The following is a 14,640-nucleotide window of genomic DNA, read 5'->3' as shown; positions in this document are numbered from 1 at the left end:
AGAATGAATGGAAGGGTCAGCTCTCGCTTCTGCACCTGAGCATCGTCCAGCGAAATCTCACAGGACAACGGCAGCCTCAGCTTCCCTCCCACAGGCAAGCTCATGGTGGGAAGGGTTTGATTTTCCCAAAATAAAAGGGTGTGGGGCCGGAAGTGTGGCTCAGTGGCCCCTCCCTGGCTCCTCTGTGCAGGCAGCCAGCAGACAGGTTTATTTTCGATGCTGGCTGGCGCTTTCAGTGGAGTATTTTTGGAGTGTCCACAAGCCTTGTTTTAGTTTTCATGGCTATTCTCATGCTGCTGTGAAGTCACCTGGTCCCTCATGCTCCTGGTGACTGCCTGCTGTAAGACAGGGACAGTGGCTGGTCAGTCTTCCCTGGGAGTCCCCAGAAAGGGACGGAAAACCGCCAAGGACTGTGGACTGCGATGGGCTTTGCCCCTGCCCCAAGCTGGGCCACTGTCTGGGCCTGCCGTGCCTGTCTGGGAGCTAGAAGCTTGTGCAGGGCAGGGCAGCCTGCAGAACATCCAGGTGGTCTGGGTCCCAACCCACACTCCTCCACTTCCTAGGGGGCAACCCCCATGCTAATCACCAAACCTGTCAAATGGGACAAGCAGAACCTTCCTTAATAACAGCTCAAGATTCCCCTGAGACTAAAATGAGATGCTAGCCCTCAAAGAACTTTGGGGAAAAAACAAAGTTACTAGGCAGCCTTAATTAACACAGGCCATTCTTCCTAAGTGATAATATATGATTACGCGTTCCCCATAACAGCCAGAAAGTTGACTACAACCTTTAGGAATCTAGTTGTTTTCTTTTCTCATTTTCCAGTGAACAACCACGTGCTTTGGATCTCTAATAAAGTGGGACACTCTTTCATCATGTCATTGTCCTGCGTAAAGGATTTTGCTGGCTCCTTTATTTTTATTTTTATTTTTAAGGAACTGAGTTTCTCATTCAGCTCCTAAGTTTGTACCTTCAAAGCCTGGAACTCAGTATTGCCTAAACCCCCTTGGAGGATTTATAAAAGGCAGAAATAGCACTCTATTAACTCTTTTTCCTATCAAAAGCAGCTCTTGATTGGACTTAGGACCTGTGTTGGCAGATCAAAAGAGAAAGCGAGGTCAAATTTGAGGTTCTCTGTGGCATCGGTATACTGTAATGGAATAAATGTCCTGAAGAAGCAAAAAAGAAAGAAAAAAAAGAAACTGGGTCTCTCTCTGTCACCAGGCTGGAGTGCAGTGATGCGATCACGGCTTGACCTCCTGGGTCAAGTGATCCTCCTGCCTCAGCCTCCTGAGTAGCTGGGACTACAGATGCACATCACCACGCCCAGCTAATTTTAAAATTTTTAGTAGAGATAGGGCATCACCATGTTGCCCAGGCTGGTCTCAAATTCCTGGGATCCAGCAATCCTCTTGTCTCGGCCTCTCAAAGTGTTGGGATTACAGGCTTGAGCCACCACGCCCGGCCTGCCGGCTCCTTGGTGTTTAAAAGATAAAATTCCGGCCCTCACTCTACCTCCAGGCTCCAAGCCCTCTCCTAAGTCTTTCTGGAACCGGCTTGCTTAGAGCTTGCCGCCTCTGGGAGGCACCTCTGATTCCGTGCCCCTGGCCTTTGCACTTGCTGTTCCCTGTGTCTGAGCTGCTTGCCGCCTGATGAACTCCTCCTTGTCCTAGGAAGCCAACTCAAAGGGCCCCCTCTCTGGAAAGGCGGTTTGGTGTGCTGGAAACTCTATGGGCCTTGGAGTCAGGAGCCTTGGGTTGAAGTCCTAGCTGCACCTTGGGACTTGATAAATCACTTCAGCTCTCAGGACTCAGTTTTTTTTCACGTGGGATTATTTCCCTGTTTGTCTCTCCCAATAGGAACTCCTTAAGGTCTGGAACTGCATTGTATTCATCCTGGGGTCCTCTCCTTCCTCCCAGTCCCAAAAAGCATGGGGATATTGCGTTACTATCTCAGGATAAATAAGAACTCAAATCACCAAGTAGCACCTGTAAACCAAAAAGCATCTGAGCAGGTCTGGATCGGTTTAGAAAGTTTATTTTGCCAAGGATAAGGACGTGCCCGTGACAGCCTCAGGAGGTCCTGACAACATGGGCCCAAGGTGGTCAAGGTATAGTTTGCATTTATACATTTTAGGGAGACATAAGGCATCAATCAATACATGTGAGATTTACATTGGTTGGATCTAGAAGGGCGGGACAACTCAAAGGGGCAGGGGCTTCCAGGTCATAGGTAGATTTAAACATATTCTGACTGGCAATTGGTTGAAAGAGTTATTTTCAATAGAAAGGAATGGCTGGGTTATGACAACGGGTCGTGGAGACCAAAGTGTTTTATTTTATTTTATTTATTTCATTTTTTTTGAGTCAGAGTTTCACTCTTGTTGCCCAGGCTGGAGTGCAGTGGCGCCATCTCAGCTAACTGCAACCTCCACCTCCCCAGTTCAAGTGATTCTCCTGCCTCAGCCTCCCAAGCAGCTGGGATTACCACGCCCTGCTAATTTTTTGTATTTTTAATAGAGACGGGGTTTCTCCACGTTGGTCAGGCTGGTCTCGAACTCTCGACCTCAGGTGATCCGCCCGCCTCGGCCTCCCAAAGTGCTTGGATTACAGGCGAGACCAAAGTTGTATCATACAGATGAAGGCTTCAAGTAGTAGGCTTCAGAGAGAATAGACTGTAAATGAAGCTTGTCCAACTGGTGGCCTGCGGGCCACATGTGGCCCAGGACAAATTTGAACACAGCTCAACACAAATTCGTAAACATTCTCAAAACATTATGAGTTGTTTTTTGTTTGTTTGTTTGAGATGGAGTCTCGCACTGTCCTGGGCTGGAGTGCAGTGGTGCGATCACGGCTCACTGCAACCTCTGCCTCCCGGGTTCAAGCAAGTCTCCTGCCTCAGCCTCCTGAGTAGCTGGGATTACAGGCGGCCGCCACCATGCCCAGCTGATTTTTTCGTATTTTAGTAGAGATGGGGTTTCACTATGTTGGCCAGGCTGGTCTTGAACTCCTGAGCTCGTGATTTGTCCACCTCAGCCTCCCAAAGTGCTGGGATTACAGGCGTGAGCCACCGTGCCCAGCTAACATTATGATATTTTTTTGTGATTTTTATTTTTAGCTCATCAGCTATTGTTAGTGTATTTTGTGTGGCCCAAGACAATTCTTCTTCCAATGTGGCTTAGAGAAGCTGAAAGACCGGACACCCTCCTGTCAATCTTCCTTCCTTCCTTCCTTCCTTTCTCTCTCTCTCTCTCTCTCTTTTTTTTTTTTTTGACAGAATGTCACTCAGTCACCCAGGCTGGAGTGCAGTGGCGTGATCTCGGCTCACCGCAACCACCACCTCCTGGGTTCAAGCGATTCTCGTGCTGCAGTCTCCCGAGTAGCTGGAATTACAGGCATATGCTACCATGCCTGGCTAATTTTTTTGAATTTTTAGTAGACACAGGATTTCCCGATGTTGACCAGGCTCGTCTTGAACTCCTGGCCTCAAGTGATCCACTTGAGGCCTCCCAAAGTGTTGGGATTACAGGCGTGAGCCACCTGTGCCTGGCCGCTTAAATGTTTCTTATTAGACTTGAGGTCTGTGTTGCTGTTGATGCTGGAGGGGAGTAACGAGGCATGTCCGACCCTTTCACCTTCTCCAGTGTATGTCTGCGTGTCCACATGTACCCAATGCTTAACACCCGCTTATAAGTAAGAACAGGCGGCTTTGGCTTTCTGGTTCTGCATCATTTCACTTAGGATAATGGCCTTCAGCTCCCTCCATGGTGCTGCAAAGGCAGGATTTCCTTCTTTTTATGACTGGGTCATATTCCACGGTGTATGGAGGGGTGGGGCAGGTTTTACTTTATTTTTTGAGACAGAGTCTCACTCTGTCGCCCAGGCTGGAGTTCAGTGGCGCAATCTTGGCCATTCTTCTGCCTCAGCCTCCTGAGAGGCTGGGATGACAGGCACCCACCACCACATCTGGCTACTTTTTGTATTTTTAGTAGAGACGAGGTTTCGCCATGTTGGCCAGGCTGGTCTCCAACTCCTGGCCTCAAGTGTTCCGCCTGCCTTGGCCTCTCAAAGTGCTGGGATTCCAGGCCTGAGCCACTGCGCCCGGCCACTAGGCAGGTTTTAAATCTGCGGCTCACCTCTTCTGGGCATTCAGTTCACCAGCAGACCACCCACTTCCCCGGGAAACACACTGTGTGCCCTCGGGGATCCAAGTCTGGGGGTTAAAGGGTGAGGATGGTCATCTGGGAGCCTGGGCGCCACTTGGAGTCTCTGCAGGACGCCCCCACATGGCCCTGGTCTGTAAAACCTGCTTTTCACCAGCAGTCTGAGATCAAAGAGGAGTTACAACGTCTATCCTGAACAATTTGGTTGGGAAGATGAGATAGAGCAATTAGTAGTGCTTAACAGCTGAAGGTGAAAACGTCCCTCTGCCTGGGGCAGTGCTGCAGTCATTCCTGAGCCCCACCTGGGACAGAGTCAGACTCCCTGGTAGAGGGACCTGGGTGTCTGCAGTCTGGGCGTGTTTCCAAAAGATCCTTCCACGCATGTTTTGAAACTGAAGCTGCATGTGTGCGTGGAGTGGGTACAGGGCTTGATTCCTGAGCTGTCACTGCCCAGCCCTCAACACCTCATCCCCCTGTCCTTGTCCTGAAAGGCCCTCATGGGGTCTGCCCAGCTCTCCCTGGCCAGCCATTCCCACTCTCAGGAAATTCTCCAGGCCCTAGGACACACCTCCTTGCCCCCAGACACCTCCTGGGGAACCTCATATTCAGGGTTGATCAAAACCAGGCCATCACCTTTGTGGCTCTGTTGTCACCCTGAACATGGTCTCTGTGTCCCCTCCTGTCAGCCTCCTTCATGCCACCCCCACCCTCTCATGTCCCACACCCATGCCAAGCCCCCAACACCCCTCAAATGCATGCCCTCACTACAAACTGCCCCATGACCCTCCTTCTGCCACCATCCCCCACCCCCCAGCCATTCCAGCGGCCTCCTAACCTGGCTTCCCATATCCTCCCTTGCTCCCTGCAGCCTACCCTGTGGCTGAGGCTTGAAAAATGCAAATCTGACCTCCCTGCCTGGACTTCTTTAGGGCCCTGCCCTGGCCCTTGGGACAAAACCAAGCTCATGCAGGCTCTAACTGCAAAACAAAACCAGAAGACAAAATAGAACAGGGCTGGAATCTGTTTAAGCAGAAAAGCAAGTGGTCAAAGGACAGTAGGCAGCTGGTCGGAAGGAAAAGTGAGCTGCCTCTGCCACGGAGGCCAGCCACCAAATGCCAACACAGCGCCTTTGCATATTCAAAACCCTGACATCTCTGCTGCCGGCCTGGGAAATGAGCTTGCTTGTGTCACCAGCCCTGTCTGGGTCCTGGGGCCTCCTGCCAGCTCAAGCTGCAAAGGAGGCTGGCACACAAGGTTGACCTGGAGCCTGGCTCATTTCTTAGACACGGGCAGGGCATCGCAACGGATGGGTAGGCCCCTCCTTCCTTGAATCTTAGAATGACAGAGGGACCTTTGCCCTCCAACCTCCGCTGCTATGCCACCCCACCCAAGCCTCGCCCCAGCCCTCAGCTTGGCCACTTTGGCTCTTCAGTTCCTTCTAGGAGTCCTGTTCCCTCCTGGTTCCAGGCTGTGTACAGGCTGTCCCCCATACAGGCTGGACCCCTGCCAGGAAGGCATTTTATCCCAGCCCTTTTCAACTGGCTGACTGCCACCATCTTTCCTCAGAGAAGCTGGCTTTGTTCGCCCATCCTTGGCCAGGCCCCATATAGCCCAAGTGTAATCACTTCTGTTCGTGTGATTAGTGGACTTAAGCCTGTCTCTCCTGCTCGAATGGGAACTCCATGAAGGCAGGGACATCCCTCTGGTCCTGGCCATGTTTATCACTTAGTAGGTGCTCAATAAATACTTGTCAAAAAGTGAATGAACGAATGATTTGGGGAAGCTATGTAACCTACATTTCGTTTCTTTCACTATAAAATGGGAACACAAGTGATTGTCTGCCTCTTAAATTTGTTTACAATTTTTTGTTTTTTTGAGACAGAGTTTTGCTCTTGTCACTCAGGATGGAATGCAATGGCACGATCTCCGCTCACTGCAATATCTGCCACCATGCCTACCTGATTTTTGTATTTTTAGTAGAGACAGGGTTTCACCATGTTGGCCAGGCTCGTCTTGAACTCCTGACCTCAGGTGGTCCACCCGCCTTGGCTTCCCAAAGTGCTGGGATTACAGGCGTGAACCACTGCGCCTGGCCCATTTTTAGTTTTTTTAAGCAATCAAATTGGTCAGGGTTTTATTTCATGGCCCTCTCCTTCCTGTTCACAATTATAAGGAAATTCCCCCAGGTTTGCAGCTTCTTTTTCTTTTTTCCATTCATATCTTGTATCCATTTGGGATTTATTTTGGTAGAAGGAGTGAGGTAGGAATGCTACAATTTTTCCCACTGTGCCAATCCCATTAATGATTTGTTCTTATACATTTGAAACAGCATTTTACCATATTCTAAATTTCCATATGTAGCACTATGATGCCATTCACTGCAAATATCAGAAAGCTCAACTCAAACTGGCTTCAATTGTTTGTTTGTTTGTTTGTTTGTTTGTTTTCTCAGACGGAGTTTCACTCTGTCTCCCAGGCTGGAGTGCAGTGGTGTGATCTCGGCTCATTGCAACCTCTGCCTCCTGGGTTCAAGTGATTCTACCGCCTCAGCTTCCCAAGTAGCTGAGATTACAGACATGCGCCACCAAGCCCAGATAATTTTCGTATTTTTATTTTTCTATTTTGTATTTTTAGCAGAGACGTGGTTTCACCATTGGGCCAGGCTGGTGTCAGGTGATCCACCCACCTTGGCCTCCCAAAATGCTGGCATTACGGGTGTGAGCCACAGCGCCCAGCCTTTTTTTTTTAGAGAGAGTCTCACTCTGTCGCCCAGGCTGGAGTGCAGTGGTGTGATCTTGGCTCACTGCAAACTCTGCCTCTCAAGTTCAAGTGATTCTTCTGCCTTAGCCTTCTTAGTAGAGAAGGGTTTTCTCCATGTTGGCCAGACTGCTCTTGAACTCCCGACCTCAGGTGATCCACCTACCTTGGACTCCCAAAGTGCTGGGATTACAGGCACGAGCCACCGTGTCTGGCATACAATATTTTCTTTATCCAGTCCACCACTGATGCACACCTAGATTGATTCCATGTCTTTGCTATTGTGAATAATGCTGCGATGAACATACAAGTGCTTGTGTCTTTTTTGTAGAATAATTTATTTTCTTTTAGGTATACACCCAGTAATCGAATTGCTGGGTCAAATGGTAGTTCTGTTTTAAGTCCTTTGACAAATCTCCAAATTGCTTTCCAGAGTGGCTGAACTAATGTACATATTCCCATTCCCATTAACAGTGTATAAGTTAGTGTTCCCTTTTCTCCACAACCTTGCCACCGTCTGTTGTTTTTTGACTTTTTAATAATAGCCATTCTGGCTAGTATGAGATGGTATCTCATTGTAGGTTATTTTATTTTTTTATTTTTAGAAAGGGTCTTGCTGTCACCCAGGCTGGAGTGGAGTGGTGTGATCTTGGCTCACTGCAACCTCTGCCTCCTGGGCTCCAGTGATCCTTTTGCCTCAGCCTCCTTAGTAACTAGGACTACAGATGCGACATTGTGCTTTTGATTTGCATTTCTCTGATCATTAGTGATGATAAGCATTTTTTCATGTGTTTGTTGGCTGCTTATATGTCTTCTTTTGAGAAGTATTTGTTCATGTATTTTGCCCATTTTTCAATGGGATTATTTGTTTTTGCTTGTTGAGTTAAGTTCCTTATAGATTCTGGATATTAGACCTTTGTTGGATGCCTAGTTTGCAAATATTTTCTCCCATTCTGTAGGTTGTCTGTTCATTCTGTTGATAGTTTCTTTGCTGTGCAGAAGCTCTTTAGTTTAGTTAGGTCCCACTTATCATTTTTGTTTTTGTTGCAATTGCTTTTGAGGACTTAGCCATAAATTATTTGCCATGGCTGGTGTTGAGAAGGATATTTCTTAGAGTTTCTTAGGATTTTTGTAGTTTGAGGGCTTACATTTAAATCTTTAGTCTGTTTTAATTTTTGTATGTGGTGAAAGGCAAGGGTCCAGTTTCATTCTTCTGCATATGCCTAGCCAGTTATCCAAGTATCATTTATTGAATAGGAGCTTCTTTCCCCTCCTTGCTTGTTTTTGTTGACTTTGTTGAAGATCAGATGGTTATAAGTGTGTGGCTTTATTTCTGGGTTCTCTATCCTCTTTACTTTGAACCTGTGGGTGTAGTTACATGGGAGATGGGTCTCTGAAAGATAGCAAACAGTTGGGTCTTGTCTTTTTATCCAGCTTGTCACTCTATGCCTTTTTTTTTCTTTTCTTTTTTTTTTTTGAGACGGAGTCTTGCTCTGTCACCCAGGCTGGAGTGCAGTGGCGTGATCTCGGCTCACTGCAAGCTCTGCCTCCCAGGTTCACGCCATTCTCCTGCCTCAGCCTCCTGAGTAGCCGGGACTATAGGCACCAGCCACCATGCCTAGCTAATTTTATGTATTTTTAGTAGAGACGGGGTTTCACCATGTTAGCCAGGATGGTCTCGATCTCCTGACCTTGTGATCTGCCCACCTCAGCCTCCCAAAGTGCTGGGATTACAGGCGTGAGGCACCGTGTCCGGCCCACTCTATGCCTTTTAAGTGGGGTCAGTTAGCCTGTTGACATTCAGGGTTAGTATTGATATGTTAGTTCTTTTTTTTTTTTTTTGAGACAGAGTCTTGCACTGTCACCAGGCTGGAGTGCAGTGGCGCAATCTTAGGTCACTGCAACCTCCGCCTCCCGGGTTCAAGCGATTCCCCTGCCTCAGCCTCCCAAGCAGTTGGGATTGCCAGCATGCGCCACCATGCCCGGCTAGATGTGTGAGATTTTGATTCTGTCACTGTGTTGTTAGCTGGCTGTTTTGTAGACATGATTGTATAGTGTCTGAGGCCTATGTGCTGAAGTGTGTTTTTGTGGTAGCAGATATTATTCTTTTTTTTTTTTTTTTTTTGAGACAGAATCTCACTCTGTCACCCAGGCTGGAAGTGCAGTGGCACGACCTCAGCTCACTGCAACCTCTGCCCTCCGAGTTCAAGTGATTCTCCTGCCTCAGCCTCCCGAGTAGCTAGGACTACAGGCACCCACCACCACGCCCAGCTAATTTTATGTATTTTTAGTAGAGACAGGGTTTCACCGTGTTAGCCAGGATAGTCTCGATCTCCTGACCTTGTGTTCCGCCCGCCTCAGCCTCCCAAAGTGCTGGGATTACAGGCGTGAGGCACCGTGTCCGGCCCACTCTATGCCTTTTTAAGTGGGGTCAGTTAGCCTGTTGACATTCAGGGTTAGTATTGATATGTGAGTTTTTTTTGTTTTTTTTTTTTGAGACAGAGTCTTGCACTGTCACCAGGCTGGAGTGCAGTGGTGCAATCTCAGCTCACTGCAACCTTCACCTCCTGGGTTCAAGCAGTTCCCCTGCCTCAGCCTCCCAAGCAGTTGGGATTGCAAGCACGTGCCACCACACCCGGCTAGATGTGTGAGATTTTGATTCTGTCATTGTGTTGTTAGTTGGCTGTTTTGTAGACATGATTGTATAGTGTCTGAGGGCTATGTGCTTAAGTGTGTTTTTGTGGTAGCAGATATTGTTCTTTTTTTTTTTTTTTTTTTTTTGAGATGGAGTCTCACTCTGTCACCCAGGCTGGAGTGCAGTGGCATGACCTCAGCTCACTGCAACCTCTGCCCTCCGAGTTCAAGTGATTCTCCTTCCTCAGCCTCCCGAGTAGCTGGGATTATAGGCGCCCGCCACTGTGCCTGGCTAATTTTTTGTATTTTTAGTAGAGACGAGGTTTTACCATCTTAGCCAGGATGGTCTTGATCTCCTGACCTCGTGATCCACCTGCCTCGGCCTCCCAAAGTGCTGGGATTACAAGTGTGAGCCACCTTGCCCAGCCTTTTTTTTTTTTTTAATACTTTAAGTTTTAGGGTACATGTGCATTTTTTTTTTAAGAGACAAGGTCTCTCTCTGTCGCCAAGCTGGAGTGCAATGGCATGATCACACACAGCTCACTGCAGCCTCCACCTCCTGGGTTCAAGCAATACTCCTGCCTCTGCCTCCCTAGTAGCTGGGACCACAGGCACACATCACCATGACTGGATAATTTTTTTATTTTTTGTAGTGACGGGGTCTCACTATGTTGCCCAGGCTGGACTCCAACTCCTGGGCTTCAGAGATTCCCAAAGTGGAGGGATGGAGAGCATGAGTCACCATGCTTGGCTGGTATCCTTCTTTAGTTTCTGTGTTTAGCACTCCCTTAAGGACCTCTTATAAGGCTGGTCTAGTGGTAATGAATTCCCTTAGCATTTGCTTTCTGAGACAGATTTTATTTATCCTTTGCTTATGATACTTAGTTGGGTGGGATATGAAATTCTTGGAATTCTTGAAATGATTGGAATTTCTTTTCTTTGGATGCTGAAAACAGCCCCTGATCTCTTCTGGTGTGTAAAGTTTCTGCTGAGAGGTCCATTTCTAGCCTGATGGGGTTCCCTTTGTAAGTGACCTGACACTTCTCTCTAGCTGCCTTTGATATTTTTTTTCTTTCACGTTGACCTTGGTGAATCTGTTGTCTTGTATAATACTTTTTTTTTTTTTGAGAGTCTTGTTTTGTCACCCAGGCTGGAGTGCAGTGTCTCAATTTTGGCTCACTGCAACCTCTGCCTCCTGGGTTCAAGTGATTCTCTTGCCTCAGCCTCCCAGGTTGAATTACAGGCATCTGCCACCATGCCTGGCTAATTTTTGTGTTTTTAGTAGAGACAGGGTTTCACCACGTTGGCCAGGCTGGTCTGGAACTCCTGACCTCAAGTGATCTGCCCACCTCGGCCTCCCAAAGTGCTGGGATTACAGGTGTGAGCCACTGTGCCTGGCCCGTATAATGCTTTTTTTTTTTTTTTTAAAGTATTAGCTCATGTGACTTGGAGGCCAGAAGCAGGGCGGGTTGCTTCAGCAGCTCAGTGGTATTGTCCCTGGCTCTGTGTCTGTTACAAAATGTCATCGTGTTACAAAATCATCCTGTTACAAAATCACATCATGATGGTGTGATCACACCTGTAACAAGAGAGGCTGAACACATCTTTACTGGTGTACTTACTCTGTAGTTTACAAACAAGTCACAGAATCCTCACAACATCCCTTCTAGGTAGCTACTGTAATCATCCATTTTGTGGATGGGTTTACTTGTCTAAGTTTACACAGATGCTAAGTGTCAGGCCTCTAAGCCCTAGCTAAGCCATCATATCCCCTGTGACCTGCATGTACACATCCAGATGGCCGGTTCCTGCCTTAACTGATGACATTCTCCCACAAAAGAAGTGAAAATGGCCTGTTCCTGCCTTAACTGATGACATTGTCTTGTGAAATTCCTTCTCCTGGCTCAAAATCTCCCCTACTGAGCACCTTGTGACCCCTACTCTGCCTGCCAGAGAACAACCCCCCTTGGACTGTAATTTTCCTTTATCTACCCAAATCCTATAAAACGGCCCCACCCTTATCTCCCTTCACTGACTCTCTTTTCGGACTCAGCCTACCTGCACCCTGGTGAAATAAACAGCTTTATTGTTCACACAAAGCCTGTTTGGTGGTCTCTTCACACGGACGTGAGTGAAATTTGGTGCCGTGACTCGGATCGGGGGACCTCCCTTGGGAGATCAATCCCCTGTCCTCCTGCTCTTTGCTCTGTGAGAAAGATCCACCTATGACCTCAGGTCCTCAGACCAACCAGCCCAAGAAACATCTCACCAATTTCAAATCCGGTAAGCAGCCTCTTTTTACTCTCTTCTCCAACCTCCCTCACTATCCCTCAACCTGTTTCTCCTTTCAATCTTGGCGCCACACTTCAATCTCTCCCTTCTTTTAATTTCAATTCCTTTCATTTTCTGGTAGAGACAAAGGAGACACGTTTTATCCGTGGACCCAAAACTCCAGCACTGGTCACGGACTAGGAAGGCAGCCTTCCCTTGGTGTTTAATCATTGCAAGGACACCTCTCTGATTATTCACCCATGTTTCAGAGGTGTCAGACCACGCAAGGACGCCTGCCTTGGTCCTTCACCCATAGCGGCAAGTCCCGCTTTTCTGGGGGAGGGGCAAGTACCCCAACCCCTTCTCTCTGTGTCTCTACCCCTTCTCCACCTTTCTGGAGGGCAAGAAATCCCCAACCCCTTCTTCTTCACTCTTAGCAGCAAGTCCCACTTTTCTAGGGGAGGGGCAAGTACCCCAACCCCTTCTCTTCATGTCTCTACCCCTTCTCCACCTTTCTGTAAGGCAAGAAACCCCCAGCCCCTTCTCCTTCACCCTTAGCAGCAAGTCCCATTTTTCTGGGGGAGGGGCATGTACCCCAACCTTGTATCTCTGCGCCCCGATCCCTTATTTCCACGCTCCGACCTCTTATATCTCTGTGCCCCAATCCCTTATTTCTGTGCCCCAACCTCTTATATCTCTGCACCCTGCTCCCTTATTTCCGTGCCCCAACCTCGTATCTCTGTGCCCCGACCCCTTTCCTGCTTTTCTGGAAGGTAAGAACCCCCGAACCGCTTCCCTCCATGTCTCTACTCTCCCTTTTCTTTAAACTTGCCTCCTTCACTATAGGCAACCTTCCACCCTCCATTCCTCCTTCTTCTCCCTTAGCCTGTGTTCTTAAGAACATAAAACCTCTTCAACTCTTGCCTGACCTAAAACCTAAATGCCTTACTTTCTTCTACAATGCCGCTTGACCCCAATACAAACTTGACAATGGCTCTAAATGGTCAGAAAACGGCACTTTCGATTTCTCCATCCTACAAGACCTAAATAATTTTTGTCGAAAAATAGGCAAATGGTCTGAGGTGCCTGACGTCCAGGCATTCTTTTACACATCTGTCCCTCCCTAGTCTCTCTGCCCAGTGCAACTAGTCCCAAATCTTCCTTCTTTCCCTCCTGCCTGTCTCCTCAGTCCCAACCCCAAGTGTCGCTGAGTTTTTCTAATCTTCCTTTTCTACAGACCCATCTGACCTCTCCCCTCCTCACTAGGCCGAGCTAGGTCCCAATTCTTCCTCAGCCTCTGCTCCTCCACCGTATAATCCTTTTATCACCTCCCCTCCTCACACCCAGTCCGGCTTACAGTTTCATTCCATGACTAGCCCTCCCCCACCTGCCTAGCTATTTCCTCTTAAAAAGGTGGCTGAAGCCAAACGCATAGTCAAGGTTAATACTCATTTTTCTTTATCAGACCTCTCCCAAATCAGTGAGCGTTTAGGCTCTTTCATCAAATATGAAAAACCCAGCCCAGTTCATGGCTCGTTTGGCGGCAACCCTGAGACGCTTTACAGCCCTAGACCCTAAAAAGTCAAAAAGCCGTCTTATTCTCAATATACATTTTATTACCCAGTCTGCTCCCGACATTAAATAAAACTCCAAAAGTTAAATTCTGGCCCTCAAACCCCACAGCAGGACTTAATTAACTTCACCTTCAAGGTGTACAATAATAGAGTGGAGGCAGCCAAGTAGCAACATATTTCTGAGTTGCAACTCTTTGCCTCCACTGTGAGACAAACCCCAGCCACATCTCCAGCACACAAGAACTCCAAACGCCTGAACCGCAGCTGCCAGGGGTTCCTCCAGAACCTCCTCCCCCAGGAGCTTGCTACAAGTGCCCACAGCCCAGGATTCCTCCTGAGCCATGTCCCATCTGTACAGGACCCCACTGAAAATTGGACTGTTCAACTCACCTGGCAGCCACTTCCAGAGCCCCTGGAACTCTGGCCCAAGGCCGTCTGACTCCTTCCCAGATCTTCTTGGCTTAGCAGCTGAAGACTGGCACTGCCGATCGCCTTGGAAGCCTACAGGACCATCACAGACACTCTAAGTAACTCTCACAGTGGAAAGTAAGTCCATCCCCTTCTTAGTCAATACGGAGGCTACCCACTCCACATTACCTTCTTTTCAAGGGCCTGTTTCCCTTGCCTCCATAACTGTTGTAAATATTGACAGCCAGGTTCTAAACCTCTTAAAACTCCCCAACTCTGGTGCCAACTTAGACAATACTCTTTTAAGCACTCCTTTTTAGTTATCCCCACCTGCCCAGTTCCCTTATTAGGCGGAGACACTTTAACTAAATTATCTGCTTCCCTGACTATTCCTAGGCTACATCCACACCTCATTGCCACCTTTTCCCCCAGTTCAAAGCCTCCTTCACATCCTCCCCTTGTATCTCCCCACCGTAACCCACAAGTATAAGACACCTCTACTCCCTCCTTGGCGACCGATCATGCACCCCTTACCATCCCATTAAAACCTAATCACTCTTACCCCGCTCAATGCCAATATCCTATCCCACAGCACGCTTTGAAAGGATTAAAGCCTATTATCACTTGCCTGTTAGAGCATGGCCTTTTAAAGCCTATAAACTCTTCTTACCATTCCCCCATTTTACCTGTCCTAAAACCAGACAAGCCTTACAGGTTAGTTCAGAATCTGCGCCTTATCAACCAAATTGTTTTGCCTATCCACCCCGTGGTGCCAAACCCATATACTCTCCTATCCTCAATACCTCCCTCTACAACCCATTATTCTGTTCTGGA

General features: G+C 48.0%; 2 annotated features.

The window, feature by feature from the left end:
- Positions 1,596-2,096: an enhancer, noted in NCBI's record as "H3K27ac hESC enhancer chr11:70075454-70075954 (GRCh37/hg19 assembly coordinates)". NCBI's record gives its function as "activates a minimal SCP1, AML or CMV promoter by ChIP-STARR-seq in naive H9 embryonic stem cells {active_cell/tissue: H9 hESC(naive)}" and the evidence as "EXISTENCE:reporter gene assay evidence [ECO:0000049][PMID:30033119]".
- Positions 10,975-11,675: an enhancer, noted in NCBI's record as "OCT4-NANOG-H3K27ac hESC enhancer chr11:70065875-70066575 (GRCh37/hg19 assembly coordinates)". NCBI's record gives its function as "activates a minimal SCP1, AML or CMV promoter by ChIP-STARR-seq in primed H9 embryonic stem cells {active_cell/tissue: H9 hESC(primed)}" and the evidence as "EXISTENCE:reporter gene assay evidence [ECO:0000049][PMID:30033119]".

Source organism: Homo sapiens, chromosome 11 (assembly GCF_000001405.40).
Source record: "Homo sapiens chromosome 11, GRCh38.p14 Primary Assembly".
Lineage (NCBI taxonomy): Eukaryota > Metazoa > Chordata > Mammalia > Primates > Hominidae > Homo > Homo sapiens.
The sequence above is the reverse complement of the archived record's forward strand: the minus strand, read 5'-3'. Positions and strand labels throughout refer to the sequence as shown.